The sequence below is a fragment of the Homo sapiens genome, chromosome X (assembly GCF_000001405.40).
Source record: "Homo sapiens chromosome X, GRCh38.p14 Primary Assembly".
Lineage (NCBI taxonomy): Eukaryota > Metazoa > Chordata > Mammalia > Primates > Hominidae > Homo > Homo sapiens.
In genome coordinates this window covers 69,386,695-69,398,830 of record NC_000023.11, presented here as the reverse complement: position 1 = coordinate 69,398,830, position 12,136 = coordinate 69,386,695, and the positions used below count along the sequence as shown (strand labels likewise).

Sequence of the window (12,136 nt, the reverse complement as noted above, 5' to 3'; positions counted from 1 at the left end):
GTGAGGATGCAGCAAGAAGGACCTCACCAGGTGCTGGTGCCTTGGCTGTGGATTTCCCAGCCTCCACACCTGTGAGAAATAAATTACTGTTTTTTATAAATTACCCAGTCTCAGGTATTCTGTTGTGGCAGCACAAAATGAACTAAGACAAAAACAAACCGCTGAAATGGATCCAAGAAGAAGTTGATAATCTGAATAGACCTTTAACAAGTAAAGAGACTCAATTAGCAATTAAAAAAAAAAACTACCCACGAAGAAAAACCTAGGCCCAGATGGCTTCATTGGTGAATTCTACCAAATGTTTAAAGGTGAAATAGCCAATCAATTGCAAACTCTTCCAAAAAATAGAAAAGTGAACACTTCCTAACTCTTTTATGAGGATAGTATTGCCCTGATAACAAAACCAGAAAAATACATCACAACAAAAGAAAACTACAGATCAATATCTCTTGTGAATATGATTTCAAAAATCCTCAACAAAATACTAGCAAATCAAATCTAGCAGCATTTAAGAAGAATCATCTACAATGACCAAGTGGGACTTACACCAGGGGTTCAAGGTTGGTTCAATATATGAAAACCAATCAATGTAATATACCATATACCATATTATTAGAATCATGAAAAAATCCACATGATTATTTCAATAGACAATTGACAAAAATCTAATACCTTTTCATGATAAACATACTAAGCAAACTAGAAATAGAAGGAAACTTCCGCATCCTGATAAAGGCTATCTTTAAAAACCCACAGCTAACATCATACTGAATGGTGAAGGACCAAAATTTCTTCTCCTGAGATTAGGAATAAAACAAAGATGTCCACTCTCACCACTCCTATTTAACAATGTGCTAGAGGTTCAAGCCAAAGAAATTAGGAAAGAAAATGAAATAAATGCCTCTACATTGGAAAGAGGAGTAACTGCTTCCTTCTTTCATAGTACTAATTGCAGCATACTGTGCTTGTCTGTTTCCATTGTGTGGGAACAACCAGAGAGTGGGGACTACATCTTATTTGTCTCTGTATCCCCAGCACCTAGCTTAGGGCCTGAGACAGTGAGTTTTGATGAATAAATGAATACATGATTGAATGGAATAAATAATGGAGGTGGGATAGAGTTGAAATCTGGTGAAGTTGAGAATAGAGCCATAGTAATGTCACATAAGTGGAGTTGTCCAATGCAGCTAGATGGGGTTTTTCCTCTCTGCACCCTTCCTGGGGCCTGGAACACACCAGACTGGGATAACCGAAGGGGATCTTTTGTGATGCAACCCAAAGGGGAGCAAACTGATACGAGATTCTTTTAGCAGCGTTACACACAGAGGGTATGTTAAGAGGCAGTCACCCCTGTCAACGTGAAAGGCCCGATTGTAAGAGGCACCTGAGGGCTTCTCTGAGGTAGGAATCATGGTTCACTGTGAGTGCTTGACCCTTGTAAGTGCTTGACCCTGAAGCTGGACCAGTGGGGAATGCTTTCCTTCATCTCCCTTTCCACCTGCAGGGGTACAAGCCCTTTCTAGCTCCATCCAGGGGCAAACTCAATTGAATAATATAACTGACACATCATGCCTAAGGCCAAGGAGGAAAAAAGATTAGATCTTGAGGGGACAGACAGCTTAAAAGGCCAAGGAGCCTGGGCGGGGGAAGAGAGGACAGGAGGAATCTCAGAGGAGAGGCTCCTTGAGACACCAAGAGAGGGCAACTCTGTGGGTGGCCCTGAAAGGGGAGAACAAAGGCCTACTGAGGCCATTGATTTGAATAGAGGAGCTAATCCACGAAGGGGGAGGGGGAGGGCAGAGACACGACTCTCCTGTTTGCAATAGGCAACTGGAGCCGTGAGTAAAGACCTATTCTTCACATTGTTCCTGGCTTTGTATGTGTGATTGATCAGGTAATAGTAAGACTTTTTCCTCCAGTAAAGGACTATACTAGCCCACTCTTCTGATGTTAAAGGGCATAATAAGGGAGTTACATGGTGTTGGGGTGGGGGCAGTTATCAGGGGATGGGGCCCATCCAGAATTGTTGAAGTGTGTGTGATGCAGAGTCTAGCTGCACCCAAAACAAAGCATACCGAAGAACTGAATGCAGATGAGGCCCTGTGGCCCTTAAATTGTTAATAGAATGAGTCTAGGGCTGGAGACAAACTGGATGTAGCCCAGGCAATAATGGTGTTGGGAATCCCCTCCCAGGAGGAGAGGGATATGGTGGAGACAGCAGCAGTCTCAGCATTAAAGTCCCTGGAGGAGGGTCATGCGTGGGAATGGGGGCTTCACCAAGGAGCTGGGACTCTATTTGCATTGGAGATTTTCCAGGGTTGTTCAAGCCTAAAATTCCCCTCAGGAAATCAGACAGACACAGAAATTTAAGAGGTTTGCTTCTGGAGAGCAGAGACCTTTCATATTCCCTGAGGAATATGGTGGAATTGACAGGAAGAGCCAAGTAGACATTGGAGCCTGTGGGACACAGGAGCCTGAGGCAGGTGACAGAACAAAGGACACAGCCTATGTTGGATGCTACCAGGTACCAAAAACTCTGGGGTTTTGTGGGCTGTTTGGGGATGGGTATGTTGGAGAGGACATACGGCAGCAAATCACCTCCTAAGAAAGGAGTTTAAAGAGTGGCATGAAGATGCTAAAGAATATGTATACTTTTCAAAGAAATGACTTGGAGCCTATACTGAGGAGGCATGTTAGAGAACTTGCAGGGTTCCATTCATGAGGTGGTACATGGGTTGAAGGCACTAAATTTTTCAGCTACAGTTGGTTGTTGATTTTAGTGTAGGTCATTTGAAGCAGAGAAAGTGCTGGGAAAGCATATGTCAAGTTCTTGGCCATCTGGCAGAGAGAGGATCTGAAGTTCTGTGTTTGGGATGAGATTAAACACCTATTTACATACAGCAACGGAAAGGGGAGCCTGACATTCCTGCAAAGATTCAGGCGGCATGGATCAAAACGGTGCTGACTGGAGCCTCTTCAGGCAAGGTTATTGGAGACCACACTAGGCTGCATATTTGGCCTAAGATATTGTCAGGATGGGCTAACTGCTATAGCACAACTTCAAAATCTTAAAAGTATAACATAACAAAAATTTAATGCTAGCTCATGGCAGTCCAATGTGGTCTGCAAGGGTTGGGCCACTCTGCTTTCTGTCGCCATTTAGAGACGTAGCTTCAACTATCTTGTAATGTTGCCACCTTCAACACAGGTCCCAAGGTTGCAAGGAAAGGGGAGGAGAGCATGAGGAAGGCACACCTAATACTTAACTGTCTCAGCTTCTGAGTGATACCTATAATTTCTGCTCACTTACTATTGCCATAAAACCAGTCATGTGGCCTAACATTGAGATAAGGACCGTGGAAAATGTAGTCCCTAGCTAGATGGTTGGTTCCCAGCAAAAGCTCTACACTTACAGAAGCGAAGCACAATCTTTGGTGGACAGCTGGCTATCTCTGTCACAACCCACTGGAATTACCCCTGTGATACAATTACCTGGTGTTGTGAGATTGAAGTGGAGACTATCACAAGTGATTAGAGGTAAGCTGGGGCAGCTGAGCCTACCTTTTAGGTTCAAACTCAAGTCTTGGTTGTTGAGGCAGAAGTAGCTGTGGGGAGGCATGTGGAATGGATGGCAGCTACACTAAAAGTAATGAGGATCAGGAACCCTAAGCTTTACCTTAGATGGAGAGAAAGCTCCCAGCCAATCTGAAGGAACCTCAGGCTGGAGGCAGCTGAGTGCTGGGCAGTGCAGAACTCACTTCTGTACAGCTTCATCAAGATTCTCCTTCTGGAATAGATTCCCAGGAAGTTCAAGCCCTATCCCCCAAGGCAAAGAAGTCTGCAGATAAAGGTAAAAATGGAGACAGAGCCATGACTACCATTTTACTAGCAACATCTGACCGAAGTCAAGTGGCCACTGTTGGGCCATCTACACCACAGCCCCTCTCCCAGCACACATCTTCCTAGCAGGACTCCCAGCTGCACTGGTAATGCTCTGGTAATGGAAGTGGGGCGTGGACAGTAGTCTGCAGGAGAGGCTGATTCATGAATGGGGATGGAGTTATGTTATTTGGTTGGAGGCTCCCTAGGTCTGGTGGGAGTGGAGTGGGATGCTATTTAAGGCAGTCTGTAATGATATTGCTGGGAAGGAGTCAGGATTCATTGTTAAGAGGTCACAGGTTGGAAAATAGGGAAGTGCATCAGAGCCACAGGATGAGGTGAAGTTGGAGACAGGGGGATAAGCAATGAAGTCCTAGCCAGGTTTGGTGGCTCACGCCTATAATCCCAGCACTTTGGGAGGCTGAGGTGGGAAAATAACTTGAACTCAGGAGTTCGAGACCAGTCTGGGCAAATTAAAGAAATTAGCTAGGCATGGTTAGGCTCACACAACTTTGAGTGATTGCTGTAACATTGGGTGGGAGAGGACAGTAGTGACTGACTAGTACCTGAACACCTTGCCTGTTTAGGGGCACTCTCAAGATAAGTGGGAAGCAGTACAGAAGCCAAAGGGAGACAGGTAGTTCTTTCAGCTCCCTAACAGTTACAGACACATTCACATGACCTAAATACAGCCAATCAGATGCTCCCACCCCAGTGCAAGAGATTATCTGTGATGGCTACAGCAGAGCCAAGAGTCTGCTGGCACAAGGGCAAGTGTCCAGAGGTGGCAATGTTAGTGACAGCATGGAGCAGTCTGCTGCTAATGTAGCATCTTGGCTGGACCTCATCTCTCTTGTTCAATAATTAGATCTCAAGCCTCTGGATGATTTCATGAGCTGTGTGCTTCCAATATGTGAAAGTAGGCTAGTACTGTTTCTCAGTGTGTGATACACTACCCTGACCAAGATGCTTAAGATCCACTCCTGTCCCCCATGGAGCTTGGAGTGTAGCTTCTGCTTTGAATACTTTTGGAATAAAATGTGTGATGAAGAATTAAATACAGTCTGGATGAGGAGGCAGGCAAGCAACTATGAAAAGATTTAGGAACAGTTCAAGATGACATTAGAGAAACAGCACAGGTAACTGAATAGCAAATTCTCCAAATGCCACTGTCTGTTGCAGCTCAGAGAGCAGAACAGTCAGAAGGCTCTTAAGGTCAGGGACAGCCAATCACCCAAGATGAGGTGATGGGGTGGGATCTCAGCTGGGCTTTAGGGGCTGTGAAAGTTTGGGGAATGCAGAAGAGATGCACTGGGAGGCTGCCTGCTCCCCCAGCAGTGCAGCACCAGCCACGCCATTGAGGTTGGGAGTCAATGCCACCCCGAACCATCCCTCATGGCTTTCTAGTCCTTCTCATAGTGCTTGTATTCACAGTATCCATTTCAGACCTTCAACACCATTGTGACGAAGGTAGAACTGAGCTTTCCATTATTCTCAGAAATGCTCTCCATCTCTCTTTCCAGATGAGGAATTCAAGATTCAGACCATTCAGGTGCTTTGCCTAAGGTCACAGAGCCATAGAGCCACAATGTGGGAAGGAAGCTTCTCATACTTCCCTATTTTATGCCTGAGCTCTTCCAATAACATCCCAATGGGTGAGCTAACGACCAAGCTCTGTTAGCTCACCACTAGTGCAGGAATTCACCATTTTCCCTTTAGGCAGTTCAAACTTTCAGAAAGTTCTTCCTCACGTTGAACTGAAATGTGTTCCCTGTTAACCCACCACCACCATAGAATTGATCCACAGAAAGGCTAGGACTAGAACTCCCTTAATTCCAAGGTCAGGCCCTTTCCTTTGTCCATCACTGAAAACTGCTTATGGCCTTGTCCCCTCCCTTGTTGCCCCTCCCTCTGCCTAGACTGTGGGTAACAGCTTGTGCTTGCCAGGGAGAGATAAATGGGAAAGACCAGAAGTTGGTGGGTCAGGCATGGGGTGGGGAGTGAGGTGGCCAACAGGGCAGCCTAGCCTCTGGTTGGCTTCATGGCCCTGAAAACAATTTGCTTGTCTGGGGTGCTCATTTGCTTTATGTCTTCCCTTATTAATCACATTGTTTTGCACAGGCCTGTGAGCTTCAAATGTGTTCGTTATGACTGCAATTATGTGTGACTGACCATGGACCCAGCAGTCTGGAAGCAGGATTTCCTCCCTTTTTTGCACTCTCAGATTCCAGGGTCCTCTCTCTCAGCCCCAGCCTGTTCTTCTTTGTAAGACTGTGGAAGGGAATGGACTTCCCAGAGACTCACCCAATACCTTCACCCGCAGGAGCGTGAGCCTTCTTTCCTGTGGGCAAATGGATCTCTTTAGGGAAGGCACGTCCCCTCCCAGGAGTACAGTGACAGACACAGAAGGGATGAAATGACCAACCCTGAAAAGCATGAGAAAGCAGCCCCCAAACACAATTCCACCTGTCAGCAAAAGGTTGAGGGTTTGCCTGAGAAATGGAGTGCCTTCCAATTGCAAAGAACTTAATAGGAACCAGCTCAAAATCCTGTGAGCCTACTGGGGGCCCTGTTCCTTTGTAAAAAGCCAGACTGAGTCTATTATTTTAAAATGTCAACTGGATGGAGGATATGACAGGGAAAAGTATGAGGCTCCTCTTCCTGAAGGCCCAGATGCAGTTCTGCATGCTAAAGGGAAAGTGCCCCCGACACCCAACCCCCTGGGTTTTTTCCTGCTTTTCTGCAAAGTGCCCACCAAGAAGGTCCTAGTGCCAGGAGCCAGGTCAAGTCCTCACCTTGGTCCCCTCACTGAGGCAGACCAGCAGCACATCTGGTTTTCATTAGCTCCTCTGCCACCCTATCCCTCCACTACCTCCCTCCCCTCCTCATTGGTGACAGGCTGCTGGAGGTGTCCTGACAAAAGCCTTGCTGAGGGACTCTCATTATGTGTTGCCCCTCTGTTTGGTGTGCTGTGTTCTTGGACCCTCTGGGGTCTTCCTAGAGTTGGTCAGTCTGTCAGCTCATCTGTCTGTCAGTCAGCCTGTCCATCAACCATCAGTCTCTAGTGGCCAGCAGGACAGTGTCATTCAGTCAGACAGCCAGACAGTCCACTGCTCTCAACCAGCCATGCCAGCTAGGCAATCACTAAGTCAGTAAATCTGTCTCTCAGTCCTTCGGTTATTTTAGGAGTGGAGATGGTACAGAGACCACAGGAAGGACACATCCCATACCATGTGGAAGAGGGGAGAGCAGGGACATCAGTGTGCTGAGAAGATGGGCAGCAGCGAGGTGGGCAGAATGAAATGGGAGTGGGGATAATTTGGGAAGGCTTCCTGGAAGAAAGACATTTGAAGGGGGCCCAGAGAGACGTGACTGAACTGAGAATTCTTAGCCCTCTCCCTGACTCCAACCAAAGCAGCTCAGGGTGTCACCCTGAGGTAAGGGGTTAAAGGACCTGAGGATTTGGTGGTGCGGTGGAGAGAGCTCTACTCTCCACTCTGCCTCTGATTAGCTGGAGAACCTCTAATTAGCTCTGAGCCCTGATTTCCCAGCTGTACCACTGGGGGAAAGGTGGGGCACAGCAGTGGACCAGATGAGCCCTAAAGGGCCTCCAGCTCTGATGTACCCTGTCTCTCTCTCTCTGGCTCATGCCTGGGAGAAAGAAGAACTCTGTAACCCTGAGACCTGGTTTGGGCTCTCACCTGGGCCTTCTGGCCTGGGTCAGTTCTCTGAACACAGGTCCTCCAAATGAAGGACACCAATTCTAAAGAAAGTATGGACAGACTTACAGATAAACAGATGTATGAGCCAAGATCCCTGGCTGGGACACCCCTAAGCTAAAGAACAAACTACAGGAGCAGATCTGTCCTAGGGGAGGTATAGTGGAGGCGGTTGTGCCTGGGTTGGAGTGCTGTGGAATGGATGAGCCACTTCTGGTACTACTGGAGGGGCAGGATAAGCTGTTTGGAGGAAGTGGATTTTTTCAGGGGGGTTTGGAAGGTGAGGAAAGAGGTTTGGCAGGAAGAAAGGGAGAAGTGGTGGCAGGACTCAGGGTCTCACCCCGCCTTCCCAAGTCGTCTCTTTTCTGCTTCTCTGTACATCTTCCCAAGCTGTTGGCTGGGACCAAAGCCAGCCCAGAGCTCACTCAGACACTGACCTCAAGGCCATGGTAAGGCAAATCTGAAAGGGCCTTTAGAAACCATCCACTCATTCACCCACCAGGGTAACTGATGCTCCAGAGAGAGGAGGAGACTTGGCCCTTAGAATACAGTGTAAAAAGTATGATAATAGATACATGGGCAAAATGTTACAAGTGCACCAAGGAGGAATCAGCTATCTGGAAAGGCTTCACAGGGGTGCTGACAGTTGTCTTGAGTCCTGAAGAATGAGTAGGAGAGCTGCAGGTGTACAGGGCAAAGGGATTCCAGGCAGAGAGAATCACAGTGCACACAGCCACAGGGGTATTGCATGCAAATTAGATGAAATGGTAAATGTGCTCTGAAATAGCTGGAGTAAAGGGGTCTATGAGCAAAGGCAAAACAATTGGATCAGAACTAAATTTTAAAGGACCTTAAAGACCAGGCTAGGGAATTTGAACTTTATATTGTAAGTATTGGGGAGCGACTGGCTTTTAAGCAGGGGGATAATCAGATTACTGCTTTTAATAATAATACAGATTATATTAGGTTCTATTAATGAAATCCTTCTTGTGTACACGCTCAAGTGTCAGTCAGCCTGGGTTCAATCCTGGCTCAGCCATTTACTAGTTGAGTGACCTTGGGCATGATATGCAACTTTTCAACAGCTCAGTTTTATCATCTGTAAAATGGAGGCAATAATAGCACCTTTCTCATAGGGTTTTTCTGAGGTAAGACATGTAAAGTGCTTAAAACAGAACCTGGCTGGCAGTAAGCGCTCAATAAATCTCAGCCAGGAATAATGACAGTCGTGTCTTCATTTTGTGTAGGAGGATTTTGAGGCTCAGAGAGGTGAAACCAGTTGCCCAGAACCACACAGACAGTTTGGCAGAGCTAGGTTTCAAAGCCAAAGTTCGAGCTAAGATTTGTGTCTTAAAAATTTCTCTGGAGGCCCTGTGAGAGATCGTGTTAAAGGAGAGAGACTGGGGCCCATGCCACCACTTGGGAGGCTGTTGCAACCCACCGGGGCATGAGGATGCTGGTTGGGACCCAGAAGAGCCACTTTGCCCAGCCAAGCTGTCATTTAGGAGCCTTTGAGGAGCTGGCCTGGCCCAATGAAGACCTGTTCTTTCCATCAGTGGGGCTAGGGAGGTTAATGGCATTCCCAGGAAGGGCCAGGGATTAGGGGAGCCTGCACTTCAGAGCCAAATTCTTTCACCTCTAGTGAGTTTTCCAGAGATTCTCCCTCTGCCCTGCAGTGCCTGGCCCCAGGAAAAAAGAGGGGGATGGGCTGAGACCTCCCGCTCCCCAGCCCCATGGACCAGGCTGGAGGAGAGTGCAGCCCCCGACTGGGCTGGCCCTGGTCCCGGCTGTGGCTGTTCCGGCACAAGCTGTGGGAAAGGAGGAAGGCCTCAGCATGCTCACTGGGGTGCAGCAGGGGTGGACGAAGAGGAGGGGGTCTCGGACCCTTCAGAGGCTGGACAATTAGAGAGAAGGCACATTCCAGGGGAATCCACATCTGGGATGGGCCTGAGCCTGGGCCAGCCTTGTAATCCATTGCAGATGTGACGGCCAGCAGCAGATGTGGGCAGGACCTCCCTCATGAAAGGCTGAGGTCTGGGGGCGGTTTGCAGGGATGGGGAGATGAGGAACAGCTCCCAGACACCACCAGCCAGCTCCTTTTGGGAGGCCACTACCTGGCTGCAATTCTGTGCATGGCACCTTGCCGATGGCAGTGTAGCCAGGCTGAGATGATGCAGCTGGCCTGGGACCCTGGCTTCAGCTGAGTATTTCTGGGAGCAGAGCTTGGGCCAGGAAGCCACCAGTCCCCAAGCTAGGCTTCTTTGCAACCTTTCAGATGTCAATGGCTGTGCAGCAGGGTTCTCAGTGGCTTTAAAACCTGGCGAGGGAGGAGTTTGGGACTCTGAGTCTGATGCCAACCAGCTCCAGCCCGCTCATCCTGGCCCCAGTTCAAGTCTCTGGGGATGCTGGGGCTGGCATCGCCAGGAGGAAGTCTTAAGGACTTTTCAGTGCCAGGAATTGCTGATTTTCATGAACCCAAGTGGCCAGGGCTAGATGACGTCTAGACATCTGTGCTTGTCATATGACCTGACAGTTGGCACCAGAACAGTGCCCCGGGGGAAGAAAGGAGGAACTTAGCAAGGGCCTGCTCATTGGTGGGCTTTGAAAAGGCCAGCCAGAGGTCTAGGAGGTGAGTGGAGGGTGTCTGGGGGCTATGAGGCAGGTTTTCCCTGGCCTCTGAGTGGGGATCTGTAATTGTTCATCACCCAGTGTGCTTAGCAAGGCACCTGCAATTGGAGAATCATCACTTTAGAATGGCAGAATGAGGGAGGGAATTTAGACTTCTCCTGGTCTGTCCCAACCCCTTCATGTTACAGAGGAGGGAATGGAGGCTCAGAGAAAGATACGGGCTTGGCCCAGGTTGGAGAACCGTGGCTGAGCTGAGCCGAGAAGGTTGGGCTTCTGATTTCCCGCTGAGTGCTTTTTCCCACAGCCCCAGGCTGCTTGGTGGAATGAATGGGTGAGTAATAAGTGAATGGGTGAATGAATAGAAAGGCTTGGCTGCTAAGATGGAGTTGTGACCTGGCCAAAGGTTTGTAGATGCAGTGGGTATGTCCATTTCCAGTTTCTCAGCATTGTACTGCTTGTGTGAAAGACAGGAATCCATCTTGCCCCTTTTCTCTCAACCATGTCTTCCCACATCATCCATTTCAATACTGCAGGCTGCAAAGAAGGGGATGGGGAAGGATTCACCCCAGGTCACCCACCAGGACAAGCACAGGGGCAGGCTGCAAAGCCAGGTGTCCCTAGAGCCTCTACTCCTCACCTCTCTCTGCCAGAGCTGAAGACAACTTCCATCCATTTCACAGGCTAGGAAACCGGAGACAGGCCCAGAGGGGGCGCAAGACGGATTACAGGATGAGCTTTAAATCAGGCCTGGCAGGACACTGCATGTAATGGATTCCTGTCGGCCAGAGCAGCGGTAGTGGCCCCTGTGGGCTCAGCAGCCCCCAGAGCAGTGTCACTCCGGACTAACGACAGGTGGCAGCAGAGGACCATGGTAGGCAGCCTAGGCGTTAATTATTACGGCTGCCCAGTCCCCCTTTCTCAGGCCCTAAGTTGGCCAGATTGGTACCCTGAGTGCATATGGGACCCCTGTGGCAGAGGGGTGCCCAGAGCTGGGATAAATAAGTGCTTACTGAAGAACAGCATTGGAGCAATGGTGAAAGGCAGCACAGAACATCTCAGAGGAAGAAAGAGGTCGGGGAGCTTGACAGAGTCTAAGAGGAAGAGGGAACTGCAGAAAGGGAGGGAAGAAAGGAAGGGGGGAGAAAGAGAGAGGGAAAAAAGACAGAGAAATAGGCTGACAGTTTGAAGAAAAACAAAGATGTACAGAGATTCCGTGGGATGCATCAACACACACATACTGAAATCGTGGAACTTTTTAGATGGAAGGACCTTTAGAGGTCACCTAGTCCAAACCTTGCTGATGGGGACAGAGACTCAGAGAAGATGTGATTTGCCTGAGGTCACACAGCAAATTTGTGACCAAGCAGGGACTAGTCCCAGCCTGGATCCTCCCCTTGGTTCCCAGACTCCAGCTCTTTTGTTGAAAGACCTTCCTTGGGCAGTATACATGAAAACTGCCCAGAGATCTACCTAGAATTTGCCACAGAGTTCAAAAGACTAGTGAGACCTAGAAACAGACACATAGAAAGCAGAGGGAGGTGATCCAAGAGGAGAAAAGGAAAAGGAGAGCAGGAAGGAGCAGAGTGCTCAGAGGCAGTTGGAGGAAGTATCTGGGCAAGCTCCCCTCTCCACTGACTTTCGGCCCAGGGTCCCACCTAAGGGTAGGCAGCTTTCCCTCCATATGGCATTGTCCTGCCCCTCTCAGTCCATGCCTAGCCCACCCTAGAGCAGGGAACAGATATGTGAAGAAGGGGCCCAAGCTGGGTCCTAGAACTAGAGAGAAGGCCTTGATTTTCTATTCCTGCCACCTGTTCTCTTTATAGGATCACTGCCTGATTTTACCACACGGGGTGAGCACACTGCTACCTGACTAGGACCCAAGCTCTGCCATCTTTTGCCTGCTGGTCTAT

The 12,136-nt window shown here is 48.7% G+C and overlaps 1 annotated feature.

Annotated features, from left to right (window-relative positions):
* Positions 11,129-11,178: a silencer, noted in NCBI's record as "silent region_20887". NCBI's record gives its function as "represses an Ori minimal core promoter by ATAC-STARR-seq in GM12878 lymphoblastoid cells {active_cell/tissue: GM12878}" and the evidence as "EXISTENCE:reporter gene assay evidence [ECO:0000049][PMID:35858748]".